The sequence below is a fragment of the Homo sapiens genome, chromosome X (assembly GCF_000001405.40).
Source record: "Homo sapiens chromosome X, GRCh38.p14 Primary Assembly".
In the NCBI taxonomy this organism is placed as follows: domain Eukaryota; kingdom Metazoa; phylum Chordata; class Mammalia; order Primates; family Hominidae; genus Homo; species Homo sapiens.
The window spans coordinates 33,334,438-33,352,640 of record NC_000023.11 but is presented as its reverse complement, the minus strand read 5'-3'; the positions used below and the strand labels follow the sequence as shown (position 1 = coordinate 33,352,640).

The 18,203-nt window shown below is 33.7% G+C and overlaps 1 protein-coding gene across 2 annotated transcripts in view; it reads left to right on the top strand.

Annotated features, from left to right (window-relative positions):
• DMD (dystrophin) overlaps window positions 13,253–18,203 on the top strand; it is a 2,220,167-nt gene continuing 2,215,216 nt past the window's right edge. For both annotated transcript variants that reach the window (XM_006724469.4, NM_000109.4), the window contains exon 1: window positions 13,253–13,382. In XM_006724469.4, the coding sequence (XP_006724532.1) occupies window positions 13,376–13,382 (7 nt within the window). In that variant the 5' untranslated portion in view covers window positions 13,253–13,375. The remainder of the gene's footprint in view (window positions 13,383–18,203) is intronic.

Sequence of the window (18,203 nt, the reverse complement as noted above, 5' to 3'; positions counted from 1 at the left end):
TGGATCAAGGTCATGGAAGTGTTAAAGACACAAGTAAAAAATGGGCCTTCTGAGGAGGTGACATTTTTGCAGAGACTACAAAGAAAGAAGTGAGTCTTGCAATATCTGCGGAAGGATATTCTTGGTAGGAAGGAAGAGTTAATGAAATGTCCCAAGGGGAAATAAGTTTCATAAGTTAGAAGAGAAATAAGACTATCAGTGGGATTAGAGCAAAGTAAAAAAAAAAAAAAAAAGGAAAGTAAGGGGACATATTATTTGTGATCTTACAGGCTATAGTAAGGACTTTTGTTCTAAAGGTATTGAGAAGCCACTGAAGAGATTTGAGACAGAGACATAATCTGATATTTTATGTGTATCTGTGTTTTAAAAATATCCTTTGGCTGATTTAGGCTGGGTAGGGAGTGAGTGTTAAAATAGAATAATAAGGCCAGGATTTTCTACTTTTCCTTAATCCAACTACAACTTCACAGATGTGATAATTTTTATAAGTTTAGTTATCTGGCTTTTTAAAAATATATTAACATATTTAAAATGCCATGTGAGAAAATTTTATGGGTGAATAAATTTTATTATTTTCAGTGCCTGACTTTTCCTTAGTCCTCTTCTCCCCTAAATAATCATTGAGTTTGATATGGTATCCATTGTTGTGAAATAAGGATAACTTATAAAATCAAGTTATTCAACATTTAATCATTGTTTAACAAAGGAAGCTTATTCCAAGGTTTCACATAACATAGAATTATATGGCAACAAGCTAATATTGATCAATACCTTAGATTTTATGCAGCTGACCATTTTATAACCAGACTAATAATTTATTTTACTGGCTTAGGTGCTCACAATAGATAAAATTATATATGTTAAATGGGACAAAATTATACTCTTGTTATTGGACAATAATCAATTGCAACATTGTTCAATGATGGCATAAAGAACTGCAAATAACAAGTGGTGAGAAAAATTATTTCGTTGGGATGTTCAGCGTTATATGCAGTTGATAAAATTATTTACCGCATGCATTATTTCTATATGAAGTTTTGTAGATTATCTTTTAAGGAAGTGATTGTTATATTTTAACTATTTTGTTAAATTAATAGGAATACTCTAAAATATAATAAAAGGAGTTTTTTAAGTGTTATTTTTAGGATTTTTTAGGTATAACTTACATACAATAAACCATACATATTTAAAATGTTATATATATATATATACACACACACACACACACACATACATGAAACCATCACTACAACAAAGATAGTAAATATATCTATTATCCAAAAAGTTTCCCTTTTGTAGCTCCTCCTCCTCATCTATCACCCCCACCTTCCCTAGGCAGCCACTGATATGCTTATTGTCACTGCAGATATATTTACATTTTCTAGAGTTTTGTATGAATGAAAGCATACGGTATGTACTCTTTTTGTTTGGCTTCCTTCAGTTAGTATCATTGTTTTGCAATTTATTTACATGGTTAAATGCATCAAGTTTCCAGTCCTTTCCATGGCAAAGTAGCATTACATTATATAGATATACTACAATTATTTATCCAGTTAGACATTGGTAAACATGTGGGTCATTTTCAGTTAGGGTTATTACAAATATAGCTGCTATGAAAATTCATGTATAAGCTTTTATGGTGGCTAATGCTTTCTTTTTCTCTTGGATAAATCTGTATGGGCATATGCTTTCATTTCAAGTAGGAAGCATGACTCTTACAGTATGTATACGTTTAGGTTTCTCAAAAATTGCCAAACTATTTTTCAGAGTAGTTTTTTACCATTTTACATTTCCATCAGTAGTGTATATGAGTTCCAGTTCCAAAAATCTTTGTTAATACTTTGTATTTCTTTTTATAATCTTATTTTTCATAACCCTTTAGTATCTAACTCTCTTGCTAATGATATGTAACATTTATTAAAAGTGAAATAGATGTCAGGCATTATACTAAGTATTTTACAATCATTTTCTTAATGTATTATCACAAGAATGCAAAGGAGCAATTATTATTCCTATTTTACAGAAGAATAAACTGAGGTTAAGTAACTTGCCATAGAACACATCAATTGTAAGTCACCTATCAATAATTTGAACCCAAGTAGTCTGACTATGGAGACAGTGCTATTAAAAATACACTATATTCTCCTATCCCCTAGACCAGGGATTCTAAAATGCTATATTCTCCTATCCCCTAAACCAGGGATTCTTTGACATGTGGTGAAATTTAAAGACCTGTTCCTTTAAAGCCTTTCACATCTTGTGAAGTGTGTCTGAATTTTATTACATATGCAAGATAAAACATTTAGGATTACAACAGAAACTAGTTGTATCGAAATACGGTTTTCTAAAGATTTAAAAGTTGTAATATAATAATATGCATACTTCTTTATTAACACATTAAATAACAATATATATTTGTGGGCTTAATAACAACCATAATGCCAAAGTAGTCATGAATGTAAAAATATTTTAAGATTTATACAGCTTCTATAAAATGATATGAAATATTTGTTACTCCTTTTAGTAACAAAAGTCACAGGTACTTCTAATACTACTATGGTTTATAACCTACAAAAATAAATAAAAATACTGCTACATTTTAATGAGACATTGATGAAAATAAAGATGTAGTATTTCTTTCATCCCAATGAACATTTCTCAGTTCTGTCTATGAACCCTTGGACCTGAGTTTAGTACTAGTTCACAAATGCCAGCAACACAGAATCCATGTTTATTTTAATCATCTCCATATCAACAGTGCTTAGTACAGAACATTTCATAAAGCAAGTTCTACTGGATAAGTGAATTCATGAAACACAACTTTTCGGGTACCATCCTAGACATTAGGATTTAGCAATTAACAAGACAAACATAATATCCAGTTTCGAGAACTGATAGTATACCAGGAAATACAAACAATTAAATAAAGTTGTGTGGCCTGGCCAGGTTTTTACAAGACTGACTTGCTGCCTACTGTGCTGAGAAGGTAGACTTGGCCAACTTTTTAAAGTTTTTTGTGCCTCAGTTTCCTTATCTATAAAATGCATGTAAGAGTCGCCCTCATAGGTTCAGAGTAAGGATTTAATGAGAATATATAAATGAATTATGGATAAGTAGATAGGTAGACGGATGGATAGACAAAGTGACACACACACACACATATGTTTTGTGCGTATATAATTTTATAACAGTGCCTATTCCCCCATGTTGTATAGTATATGCCATTACTATTATGAAGATAGAGGAAATACAAGGTGCTGTGAAATTGCGTAGCAGAATATAATTTTATCTGGGGATCAATAATGCCTCGCACAGAAAATTATATTTCAAGATTATACCTAAAGATTGGATGGAAGGTAGACAAACGTGAGGGGAAGCTGCAAGCCAGAAGAGAAAGAAAACTGTCTACCAAAAATACTATATTTAGCAAACTTGTCCTTCAAAAACGATGGCAAGAGATTTTCTTGGACAAGCAAAAGCTGAGGGTGTCCTGCAGCACTAGAACTGCCTTATAAGAAATACTAAAGGGAGTTCTTCAAATTGAAATTAACAGACACTAAACAGTAACACTAGAGCATATGAAAGTATAAAACCCATTGGTAAATGTAAATACATAGAGAAAAACAGAATACTGTATTACTATAACAGTGTTGGGTAAATTGTTTTAATTATACTATAAAAGTTAAAAGTCAAAAGTATTAAAAATAACCATAAATAGATAACATTAATGGATACATAAAATAAATACAAGAAAATTGTTTTATCACTGGCATAAAATGGGGAAGGAGAGGTAAAAGTCTGGAGTTGTTGTGTGTACATGAAGTTAAACTGCTATCAGCTGAATATAGATTATTATAAGATATTTTATGTAAACTCCATGGTAACCACAAAGAAAAAGCCTATCATTGTTACATAAAAGAAAAAAAGGAAAGAATCAAAGCCTATCAATGCAAAAAAACAACAACAGCAAATCATGAAGGAAAACAGCAAGAGAAAAAAGGACAAAATTACTACATGAAAAACAAATAACAAAATGGCAATAGTCAGGCCAGGTGTGGTAGCTCATGTCTGTAATCTCAGCAATTTGGGAGGCCAAGGCAGGAGGATTTCTTGAGGCCAGGAGTTCAAGACCAGCCTGGACAACATAGCAAGACCCTGTCTCTACAAAAACATATAAATAAATAAAAATAAAATTTCAAAATGGCAATATCAAGTCATTTCTGATCAATAATTACTTTAAATAAATGTGGATTATACTCCCCAATCAAAAAATATAGTGGGCCTGCATGAATTTTAAAAAGTATCCAAATATATGTTGTCTAAGGAAACTTATTTTAGATTCAAGGAAACACATGCTGAAAGTGAAGGAATGGAAAAATATATTCCATGGAAATAGTGACCAAAAGAAAGCAGGAGTAGGCCAGGCATGGTGGCCCATGCCTGTAATCCCAGCACTTTGAGAGGCCAAGGCAGGCCAGTCACCTGAGGTCAGGAGTTCAAGACCAGTCTGGCCAACATGGTGAAACGTCATCTCTACTAAAAAAACACAAAAATTAGCCAGACATGGTAGCGGGCGCCTGTAATCCCAGCTACCTGGGAGGCTGAGGCAGGAGAATCGCTTGAACCCAGGAGGCAGAGGTTGCACTGAGCCAAGATCATGCCATTGCACTCCAGCCTGGGTGACAGAGTGAGACTCTGTCTCAAAAAAAAAAAAAAAAAAAAAAGCAGAAGTGGCCATACTTTATCACAAAATAGACTTTAAGTTTAAACAAAAACTCTAGAGAAAGACTGTTATTATATAATAATAAAAGGGTGAAATCAACTGAAAGATATAACAAGAGCAAATCTATATGCACTCACTGTCAGAGCACCTAAGTATATGAAGCATATACTGACAGATCTGAAAGGAGAAATATACAGCAAAACAATATTAGTAAGAGACTTCAATATCCTACTTTTAATAACGTACAGAACATTCATATGGAAAATTAATAAAGAGTGTACTTGAACAAAATTAGAGAATAAATGGACCGACAGACATACATAGAACATTCCATCCAACAGTAGGAGAAAACACATTCTTCTCAAACACACACACACAACATTCTCCAGGATAGATTACATGTTAAGTCACAACACAACTTTTTTTTATTTCAATTATTTTTGGGGTACAGGTGGGTTTTGGCTACATGCATAAGTTATTTAGTGGTGATTTCTGAGATTTTAGTGCACCCATCACCCAAGCAATGCTCACTGTACCCAATATGTAGTCTTTTACCCCTCAATCCCCTCCCAACGTTCCCCACTAAGTTCCCAAAGTCCATTACATCATTCTTATGCCTTTGTGTCCTAATAGCTTACCTCCCACTTATAAGTAAGAACATACTATATTTGGTTTTCTATTCCTGAGTCACTTCACTTAGAATAATGGCCTCCAGCTCCATCCAAGTTGCTGCGAAGGCCATTATTTCATTCCTTTGTGTGGGTGAATAGTATTCCATGGTGTATATATACATTTTCTTTATCCACTCGGTTGATGGGCACTTAGTTGGTTTCATATCTTTGCAATTGTGAATTGTGCTGCTATAAACATGTCTGCACATGTGTCTTTTTCATATAGTGACTTCTTTTCCTTTGGGTAGATACCCAGTAGTGGGATTGGTGAATGAAATGTTAGTTCTACTTTAGTTCTTTAAGGAATCTCCATACTGTTTTACATAATGGTTGTACTAATTTCTTTTCCCACCAGGAGTTTAAAAGTGTTCCCTTTTCACCACATCCATGCCAGCATTTATTGTTTTTCGACTTTTTAATTATGGTCATTCTTTTAGAAATAAGGTGGCAGCTCATTGTGGTTTTAATTTGCATTTCCCTGATAATTAGTGATGTTGAGCATTTCCTCATGTATTTGTTGACTGTTTGTATATCTCCTTTTGAGAAATGTCTATTCATGTCCTTTGATAACTTTCTGATGAGACTTTTTTTTCTTGCTGATTTGAGTTCCTCATAGACTCTGGATACTAGTCCTTTGTCGGATGCAGAGCTTGAAAAGATTTTCTCCCACTCTATGGGTTGTCTCTTTACTCTGCTGATTATTTCTTTTGCTATACAGAAGCTTTTTAGTTTAATTGGGTCTAATTTACTTATTTTTGTTTTTGTTGCATTTGCTTTGGGGGCCTTAGTTATGAATTATTTGCCTAAGCTAATGCCCAGAAGAGTTTTTCTGATGTTATGTTCTAGAATTTTTATACTTTAAGGTCTTAGATTTAAGTCTTTGATTCATCTTGAGTTGATTTTTGTATAAGGTGAGAGATAAGGATCCAGTTTCATTCTTCTACATGTGGTTTACTAGTTTTCCCAGCACTATTTATTGAATAGGGTGTCCCTTCCCCAATTTATGCTTTTATAAGCTTTGTCAAAGATCAGTTGGCTATAAGTATTTGGCTTCATTTCTAGGTTCTCTGTTCTGTTCCATTGGTCTACGTGCCTATTTTCATACCACTACCATTGTTTTGGTAACTGTAGCCACATAGTGTAATTTGAAGTTGGGTAATGTGATGCCTCCAGATTTGTTCTTTTTGCTTACTATTGCTTTGGCTTTGTGGGCTCTTTTTTTTTGTTCAATATGAATTTTAGGATTTTTTTCTAGTTCTGTGAAGAATGATGATGGTATTTTGATGGGATTGTACTGAATCTGCAGATTGCTTTTGGCTGTATAGTCATTTCCACAATGTTGATTCTTCCTGTCCATGAGCATGGGATGTTTCAATTTGTTTGTGCCATCTATGATTTCTTTCAGCAGTGCTTTGCATATTTCCTTGTAGATAACTTTTACCTCTTTGGTTAAGTTTATTTCTAGGCATTTTGCTTTTTTTTTTTTTTGCAGCTGTTGTAAAAGGGGTTGGATTCTTGATTTGATTCTCAGCTTGGTCATTGTTGGTGTGTAGCAGTGCTATTGATTTGTGTACATTGATTTTGTATCCTGAAATTTTACTGAATTTGTTTATCAGGGTTTTCTAGGTACATGATATTATCAGCATACAACAACAGTTTGACTTCTTTTCCAATTTGTTTGCCACTCATTTTTTTCTCTTGTCTGATTGCTCTGACTAGGACTTCCGGTGCTATGTTGAACAGAATTGATTAAAGAGGGCATGCTCACAATATAACTCTTAATAAATAAATTTAAGCATATAAAAATCACACCAAGTATCTTTTCTGACCACAGTGGAATGAAACTGGACATCAGTAACAGCAAGAGAATGGGAAAATAGACTAATACATAGAAACTAAGCCACACACTCTTGAGCAACCATTGTGTCAAAGAGAAAATTAGAAGAGTATTTAAGAAATATCTTCAGACAAAAAATAATGTTAAAAAGATATCAAAACTTATGGAATGCAGAAAAAACAGTACTGAGGAGGACGTTTATAGCTCTAAACATATACATTTAAAAAGAATGATTTTAAATCAGCAATCTACCATTATGCCTCAAGGAACTAGAAGAGAAAGAAGACACTAAGCCCAAAGTTAGTATAAGGAAGTAAATAATAATGATTGGAGCAGAAGTAAGTCAAATAGAGAATAGAAAAACAATATAAAAAATAAAAACTAACGGTTGGTTTTTTGAAAAGATAAAATCAGCAAACCCTTATATATACTAAGAATAAAAGAAAGACTGAAATAAAGAATGGGGAGACGTTATAGCTGATGCCTCAGAAGTAATAAGGATCATCAGGATCTATTATGAGCAGCTATGTCTTAAAAAATCAGATAGTCTAGAAATTGATAAATTCCTGGAAACGTACAACTTACTAAGGCTGAATCAAGAAGAAATAGAAAGTCTGAACAGACCATTAACAAAGAGATTGAAGCAGTAATGAAAAATTTCTCAACAAAGAAAACCACTGGACCAGATACCTTCACAGATTTATTCTATCAAACATTCAAAAATAATTAATACCAATTCTTCTTTAACTCTTGCAAAAAAAAAAAAAAAAAAAAATGAGAAGAGGAAACACTTCCAAACTCATTTTATGAAGCCAGAATCACACTGGCACCAAAGCCAGGCAAAGATACCACAATAAAAGAACACTACAGGAGGGTAACTCTGATGTGTATAGATCCAAAAATCCTCAATAAAATACTAGCAAAACAAATTCAACAGTACATCAAAAGGATTATATACCATGATCAGGTGGGATTTATCTCCAAGATGCAAGGTTGGTATGGCATGCAAATCAATCAATGTGATATATCACATAAACGGAGTAAAAGACAAGAACCACATGACCATCTTAATAGATGCAGAAAAAACCATTTGAAAAAGTTCAACATGTATTCATGGGTAAATTGAAAACTGTCAACAAAATAAGTGTAGAATGATCTTGCATCAACATAATAAAGGCCATTTATGAAAAACTCATAGCTAACATTGTAACCAACGGGGAAAAAATTGAAAGCTTTTCCTCTAAGATCTGGTACAATGCAGGGATTCCCATGATCAACACTTCTGTTCAACATAGTATTGGAAGTCCTAGTCAGAGCAATTAGGCAAGAGAAAGAAATAAAAGGCAGTGGAATTGGAAAGGAAGAAGTAAAATTATCTGTTTGTAGATGCCACGATTCTATATGTAGAAAGCCCTAATGATTTCATTAAAAATTTGTCAGAACTAATCAATGAATTCAGTAAAATTGCTAGATACAAAATCAACATACAAATATTGGTAGCATTTCTTTTCTCTAAAAATGAAATCAGTTGATTTCATTTTGAAAAGGAAATCAATAAAATGTTTAGATTTAGCTTTTTATTGATACATTACACATTTATGGGGTACATGTGATATTCCAATATATACATACAATGTGTAATGATCGAATCAAGGTGATTAGGATGTCCATCATCTCAAATATTTATCATTTCTTTGTAATGGGAACATTCCAAATCTTCTCTTCTGGCAATTTGAAATATACTATAAATTCATGTTAACTATAGCTGCCCTACTATGCTCTCAAACACTAGAATTTATTTCTTTTATCTAACTGTACTTTTGTATTGTACCCATTAACTATCCTCTCTTCATCCCCTTCTCTTCACTTCCCTTCTCAGACGCTCGTAACCACTATTGTACTCACTACCTCCATGAGATCAATTATTTTAGCTCCCACATATGAGTGAGAACGTGTAATATTTGTCTTTCTGTGCCTGGCTTATTTCACTTAACAAAATGTCCTTCAGTTCTATCCATGTTGTTGCAAATGGTAAGTTTTTTTTATATAAATGAATATTCCGTTGTGTGTTCCGTTGTGTGTGTGTGTATATATATATATATATATACCACTTTTTTATCCATTTATCTGTTAATGGCACTTAGAAAACAATTTCATTTACAGTATCATCAGGAAGAATAAAAGAGGAATAAATTTAACTAAAATGGTGAAATATTTATACAGTGAAAACTACAAAGCATTGATTAAAGATTTTTTTTTTTTTTTTTTTTTTGAGACGGAGTCTGGCTCTGTCGCCCAGGCTGGAGTGCAATGACGGGATCTCTGCTCACTGCAACCTCCATCTTCCGGGTTCAAGCGATTCTCCTGCCTCAGCCTCCCGAGTAGCTGGGATTACAGGCGCCCGCCACTACGTCCGGCTAATTTCTGTATTTTTAGTAGAGACGGGGTTTCACCATGTTAGTCAGGCTGGTCTCAAACTCCTCACCTAAGGTGATTCACCTGCCTCGGCCTCACAAAGTGCTGGGATTACAGGCATGAGCCACCGTGCGTGGCCTGATTTAAGAAATTTTAAAAGACGCAAATAAATGGGTGTATGTTCTGTGTTCATGGACTAGAAGGATTAATATTGTTAAAATGTCCATGCTACTCAAAGCAATTTACAGATTCAGCACAACCTCTATCAAAATGCCAATAGCATTTTTCATAGATTTAAAAAAAATCTAAAATTCAAATGAAACAACAAAAGAAAGAGAATAGCCAAAGCAATCTTGAGAAGGATAAGCAACATTGGAGGTATCACACTTCCTGATTTTGAATTATATGACAAAGCTTTAGTAATCAAAATAATATAGTACTGGCATAAAAGCAGACATATAGACCAATGCAACAGAATGGAGGGCCCATAAATAAACCCATTCATATATGGTCAACTAAATTTTGAGAAGGGCAACAAGAGTACACTATGAGGAAAGGATATTCTCTTTAATAAATGGTGTTTGAAAAACTGGATATACACATGCTAAAGAATAAAATTGGACCCTTACATCACACAACAAAAGTCAGCTAAAAATTGATTAAAGAATTAAATGTAAGACCTGAAACTACAAAATTCCTAGAAGAAAGTGCATGAAAAAATAAATTCTCGAAATTGGTCTTGGCAATGATTTTTTAGATATGACATGAAAAGCACAGACAGTAAAATCAAAATTAAACAAGTTGTACTACGGCAAACCATAAACCTTCTGTACAGCATAGGAAACAATTAACAGAGTGAAGAGACAACTGTGGAATGGGAGAATATATTAGCAAACCATATGACCAATATGCAGCTTTCATCCAAAATATATGAGGAACTCAGAGCTCAAGCAAAACACACAAACAAAAAACAAAAAATCTGATTAAAAATGGTCAAAGCCCCTGAATAGACAGTTCTCCAAAGAAGACATGCAAATGGCCAACAGGTATATGAAAAGATTCTCAAAAGCGCTAATCATCAAGGAAATGCAAATTAAAGCAACAGTGAAATATCACCTCAAACTTGTTAGGATGGCTATTATCAAAAAGATAAAAAAAATAACAAGTTTTGGCAAGAATGTGGATAAAAGGGAATCCTTATACATTGTTGGCGGGAATGTAAATTTGTATAGCCATTATGGAAAACAGTATGGAGATTCCTCAAAAAGTTAAAATACGAATGCCCTAGGATCAAATTACCACTCTTTTGGGTATATATAAAAAGGAAATGAAATCAGTATCTAGATGAGATATCTGCACTCCCATGTTCAGTGCAGAGTTATTCACAATAGCCAAGGCATGAAAACAACCTGAGTGTACATCAACAGATAAATTAATAAAGAAATTGTGATATATGTAAATATAATGAAATAATATTTAGCCTACAAAGGAAGGAAATCCTGCTATTTGTGATAATGTGGGTGAACCTGAAGAACATTACGCTAAGTGAAATAAGCCAGGCATAGGAAGAATAATACTGCATGATCTCACTTACATGTAAAATCTGAACAGTCAGCTATAAAGAAGCAGAGGGTAGATTGATTGTTACCAAGGGCAGAGGGAGGGGGAGAATGGGAAGATATTGGTCAAAGGACACAGAGTTTTCATTATCAGGATGAATAAGTTCTAGAGATCTAATGTGCAGGATAGGGGCTATAGTTAATAACACTACAGTATGCACTAAGAGAGTAATCTTGAGTGTTATCACCAAATACACAAAAAAAGGGTAACCATGTAAGAGGATGGATATGTTAATTACTTTTACTGTAGTAATCATTTCACTATATGTATATTGAAACATGTTGTACAACTTGTATACATTTTTACAAAAAATTAATTTTCACAAGCCTCAAGACAGACTTATGAATAGATGAAACAGAATACGGAAAATATCTGAAACAGGAAGGAGTCCAGCATTTTAGAAGAAAAAATAGAAGTCCATTGTGGCTGGAATAAAGTATAAAGAGGAAGAGAGGCAAGAGTTTAAGCTGGAGAGGCTAGTAGAAGCCAAGAATACAACAAAAAAAACACATGGCATTTATGCTATTCTCAATCTCTAAAATAGATATGCTAATCACCGAAGACTTTTTATGTAAAATAGCAGTAATTGATATACCAGTATTTTCAGAGTTGTGTGGAATGATATGTATATTATTTTAGAGAAATCTTGGTGGATTCATATGGACTCAACTTATCTTTCAGGTTTATTTCTTGCATTTATAAATTATATCTAATAAACTATAAGTTACTGATTGTTGTGTATATCTTGATATATAGGGATTATTTGTGTTTGTTATACAAAAATCAAATGGAAGTAGAATAGCTAAAATGTATGAGTACTTGCACACAAAGCACACACACACACACACACACACACACACACCATAACCCCTTAGGAAAACACTATTTCAGAATAGCGATATTGGCATATTTCACATATGCTAAATGAGTTATTCCTTATAGTTTCATAATGTAACTATGAAACCAGCTGTCTGTTTACTTTTTGTGGTAGGGGGGATAGCTTTCCTAACAAACTAAATACCTAATACAAATCTGAGAGGAAACATATGATTTTATTAATTTTTCTCATGAAAACACTTAAACTTTCTTGTGTTATAATTTCAAACCATAAGTGCCCCCAAGACAGGCAAACTTGGAAGTTTTAGAGAAAATTATACGGTATAATTGATAACAATTACAGTTTCTTTTAACAAATACTGATTCACGATTAGTATTTTTAAAATACAAAATGCATTTTCCTGAATAGCATTTATTTACTTGTTAAAGAAGTTGTGTAAGAGATTCAGCTAATCTAATTTCTTACTTTGTGAAGAAATCACTCATCTAAAGTCAAAATATCAAGTATAAAGTCTACCCTTGGGAGAAGCATACAGGGTGCCAGACTTTAAATATCTCCAGTGTGCAAAATAAATAATATTTTCTTGAAATATCCTCTTATTTGAAAATTTGCTATAGAGTCACAAGAGGCAAATTCCATTTGAGAAAGTGCATGCTATATTTTACAACGCAGAAATGTGGAGCTGAGCACACAACATCTTATTGCAAAAGTACAATTCAGAAGAGAGTTTTTACCCTTAAAAGGCTGTGAAGATAAGTAAAAATCAGCCAAAATTTCAGTGTGAATAATATGATGTTTGGCGAGGAACTCTACTATTGTTACACTTAGGAAAATAATCTAATCCAAAGGCTTTGCATCTGTACAGAAGAGCGAGTAGATACTGAAAGAGATTTGCAGATCCACTGTTTTTTAGGCAGGAAGAATGCTCGTTAAATGCAAACGCTGCTCTGGCTCATGTGTTTGCTCCGAGGTATAGGTTTTGTTCGACTGACGTATCAGATAGTCAGAGTGGTTACCACACCGACGTTGTAGCAGCTGCATAATAAATGACTGAAAGAATCATGTTAGGCATGCCCACCTAACCTAACTTGAATCATGCGAAAGGGGAGCTGTTGGAATTCAAATAGACTTTCTGGTTCCCAGCAGTCGGCAGTAATAGAATGCTTTCAGGAAGATGACAGAATCAGGAGAAAGATGCTGTTTTGCACTATCTTGATTTGTTACAGCAGCCAACTTATTGGCATGATGGAGTGACAGGAAAAACAGCTGGCATGGAAGGTAGGATTATTAAAGCTATTACATCATTACAAATACAATTAGAAGCTGGCCATGACAAAGCATATGTTTGAACAAGCAGCTGTTGGTAGCTGGGGTTTGTTGCCGAGCTCTTCAAACTCTGCAAACAGTGTTGCTTTTACAGAATGGATTTTAAAATTGCCTTGTGCTGCGTTAGATTTTGGGGAGGGGGTGTGCTTGCCTCCAACCTCAGGAAAACACTTCTGGGATAGAAATCAGTGTTAGAAGATTTTAGAATAAAGTATTGTTCAGGAGTCTAGGTTTCTTCAGGTAGATGATGACAGGGGGAAAAAAATCTTCGGGGAAATCTACCCCAGATTAGTTATATGCAATTTAGTTGCAAGAACTGATTGATGTATTGGCATATTCAGACAGTGAGAGAAATGAGAATGTACAGAATGTTTGGATAGGTTGAAAATTGTTATACTTGGTTTCTATTTTATAAGGAGTTTGGCTGTCAGTCATTTCTCCTCATCAATTTCTAGCTTTTGACATTTATTCAGTCATTCTGCATTATATGAAGAAAATATATCAATATCTCCTGCAGGGTTTTTCAACAACTCTAGCATCTGTTTCAGCTATTGAACTGTATTCACGTTTTGCCAAGTTGATGTCGACCCAGCTGGTCTATGATTTCTCGCTTGATTACTGCTCTTAATTTCTCTGTATCAGCTTGTTTCAGATAGGGCTTTGAAGGCTGTTAATGAAAAATGACAGAAGTGATAAATTATTGAAAATGTGAGCATTTATTTATTTATTTATTTATTTATTTATTTATTTTGCCCTTTAATGAGTTTTGTCTTACATTCTTTCTTGCCTGCGTACGATTTTTAGAACCCTTTCTCTGTTTTGCAATATTTCTTTCCCCTACAATCAGTGGATTATAATTATAAGTACTTTTAAGCAAATGGAGCATGAGCATGGACAGTATTTGGCTCCAAAAATAAAGTTTTTGGAGAAAGGGGAGCAATTTATGCTTTTTGTATAAACTATGCATCGTTTCTATAACCTATCTTCACATGCTGTCATGGGGATCTGTCAGTGACTGTAATCAGACTGAACATATTGAAATAATCTTTATCACCACTAGGGTAACAAGCAAATAAAACATTCAAACATTTAACAAGTGATTGTTTAAAACAGATGTTAAATAATATAGAAATAGATTTTCCTAAGTGTGAAAAGCCTGATTATTAACTGTCTATGTAATACAGAATCTTTCGGCTCTCTACCCAGTCTCCTCCATAGCCTGAGGAGCTAAATCATCCAAGTTAATAGACTATCATATATGTACATCTAATATGACCTTTCAGTGTACACAGTGCTACTCGTATGTGCTGTGCCTTTTCTGTAGTAATTGTAATATCCCAGTCAGTCTGGTTAAGGAACACTATTGGCTGTTATGTAACTTTTTTTCTGAATGTTAGTCCATGGTTTTCAATTACGTATTCCTCTTAGAAAGGGTGAGTTAAAAACAACATGTATTTAAATATCAGTAAATTAATTAGCAAGTGGTGGGCTAATTACACTAGGATTTCTCCAAAATAATTGCTAACTTCTGTTTTGAAAAATAGTCAAGGATTTGGATGACTACTTTTTAACCTTGAAGCATACATTACCGTGGTTGAATATCATTCATAATTCATATATACAGCAGGAAAGAAAATAGTTTTCTAGATGTATCATTTTAGCAGCAAAGAATTTTTTTTTATAATGTGGTTCAGGCACTCTGATTATTTCCGTTTAATACTTTTAAGTACTGTAGATGCTTTTGTATAGTGTGTTACAGAACTTGGTTAATCTTTGGGAAGCTCAAAGACTGACAGAATTTTGCATCCAAATGCTACAGGGTTATTTTGTGGTTGGTTGAGAAAATTCAGCTCTGTCTATACTGTTGTTTAAAATACAGCCCTCTTTGGCCAATGTTACTTTTCAACTTTTTATAACCGTTTTAAGTGACCATTCAAGACTGTAAAAACTCTTTTACACTGCATCTTTAGTAGGACTCTCCTTTTGTGAATTGTCTCCTTCGAAAAAATGTGAGCTTCCTTCTAGCCTCACTCTCTTGTTACCATAGTTACTTTTAAAAGAAGGTTTTTCTTTTTCAATGAAGATAGCGTACTTTAAATCAGCCACTGGAATCCCCAAACTGTGTTTTTGTATTTTTTAGTTTATAGTTTAGGCTTGCTTCATTTGCGGTTAGAAAGTGCTCTGTATTTGGTCCCACTGATGAATGGATTGGACAGACGCTAGGTGGCACCAGCTGTTGATTATTAATGAAATCGTAAAGTCTATATGCCACGCACCTGAAGAGCAGGCAAACCCTTATTGATAAATGCATTGTAAGAGCTGGAAATGTCTGCCAATATTTCTTGCTCTAAAACAGGGTCAGCCTGCAGAGTGATGAGACCACGTGAAGTCTTCAAATCCCAATTGCTTAATCCTGTGTCTTCTGAAGTGCTTTAAGGAAGAAAAAACGATGAAGGAGAAATGCATAAAAATAGAAGGTGTGAAAGAGAAGTGGGACACAATGAAATAGACTGCAAACATTTTAATATATTTTTAAATCCAGAATTAGTGACTTTTATAAATCTATGTGAGTTTTCCCCAATTCTCTCAAACTCAGATTGTTTTCTCTAAGGCATTTATATTCTAAAACAATTATTTATCTCTTTTAGGTAAAAATTTTATTGAGCATCATTATTTTTTAAGTAAAAAAATCTCCCTTATTTCTCTTTTTGTGATAAGACTGTCAAGTGAAATTTCCCACATGAGCTAGAGTAGCTGCCTCTCAGGTGTTGCTCTTCAGAAAGATGAGCAGGGGAAGACACTATCGGTTAAGAAATATGCTTTGAAATGTTTTGCCTGAGAAGCTTGCTCCATCCTATTATCCTCCCATTCTCATATAATCCATCTTTTAAGAAGGAAAAAGCAAATAAAAACAAACCACTTAAGCATGTGCATACACACACACACACACACACACACGCTTTGGAAAAAAAAAAAAGTCAGAACTGTTTAAAAAGAGAAAGCCACGACAATATTTTAGTTGGTCCTGGAGTTAATAAACTAAAGTGAAAAATAGGAAGGAAAGTCCATAATTAGATTGTGGAGAGTAAATAATTACTTAAAACTGGAAATATTTTTCCAGAAAAATATGCAATATTTTTTCTTCACTGGGAGTAACTGACAATTCCTGAAGAAGGTGAGATGGTTTAGAAAGAGTGCAAAGATAATATATGCTGTGATTCTCCAATGTTATCTGAAAAGTATGTAATATGGCTAGTTATCTTGATTATAGCATGGACTTTGGTAAAGATTTTTATGATGCCCATATGGTGAAAATGGAGAAATATTTGCTGTTTGACATAAGAGTCTGGTCAATAAATCAGCTGGCTAAATGACCCTGCCTGTGATGTATCAATTAATGAATCACAGTAAACCAGGAAGAGGGCCTTTCACAGGACTATAGCATAGTTCTATAAAATTGGTTCCATCTGACTTGAACCTAATCTTCTGTAATGTGCCTTATGTCTCTGTTCTTGAACCTACTTGGCCTGTGAAATATTAATGTCCAAAAACTGAAGGACGATCCAGATAGCCTGTCTATCTGGGAAGCAGAACAAATACATTGAACTATTAGGGTACCAAAGGATTATGACCACCTAAAAACTGTGGTGAGGTCAAAGAGAATAATTGTAATAGGAATAAGTATAACATCCTAAGCTAAGGTTCATAAAATCAATCTGGCAAGTACAGGACATGAGAGAGTTAAAGCTTAGTAATAATTAATTGAATAAATCTTACTGATTTTGTTGGTCATCATTATTATCAGTCATAATTCATATGACATCAAAATACAATGAAACAAAGTAATATTGTTAGACATGTATCCTGAAAAAGGAAATGAAAAAAATGAGAACGAATTTTAGAAGGATATATATGATATAATGGTGTGTGTGTGTATATATATGATAGGTATGGTATATGTATATATTATATGTGGTAATATATACATATTTTAGAAGGACACCATGATCTAAGAGGAACCTTAACATTTGGGGGTATGTTCAGTGAAAAGTGTCTGAATGCTAAAAGGTCCTACAAACTATAACATTTGAGGGGCATGGAAAGTACTAGAAAAGTGAAAAGTTGAAGAATACTTGAAGGAAAAAAGTAGAGAAAATTAAGCTGATTTCAAATATTCGATGTGCTATAATGCAGAAGAGGGTTTAGACTCACTTGCACCTCTTTGGTAGCAATGGAAAAGTATTCTTCCAGTTAATGTTGTGAGCAGAGAATTGATTACTTTGTGAGACACTGCACTCCTTATTCCTAAAGTGTTCAGTGCTAAGAATGGAGTTTCTGCACTAAATGGAAATTGAAGAAGATGTCTGAGATAATTTTTAACTAAGAATCTGTGAGTCCAATCATTTCTTTTAAAAACATGTTCTTTTTTTTAGACATTTATTTCTCTGAGGGTCTCTACTACTCCACTCGCATCATCCAGGCTAGGGGTCAGTAAATGATAGTCCACATTGTCACATCTATTACTGTTTGACCAGTCATTTAAAATGGTTTTCACGTTTCTGAATTGTTTCATTTCAAGAATATTTCTGACACATGAGATTATATAAAATTTCAATTTAAGAGTCTATAGTTTATTTGGAAGACAGCCACACCCATTTATTTGTTTATATGCTATATAGGACTCCTTTCATGCTAAAACACAGTTGAGTACTTATGACAGAGACCATGTGGGCCACAAAGCAGGAATATTTACTATCTGGCCCTCGATAGGAA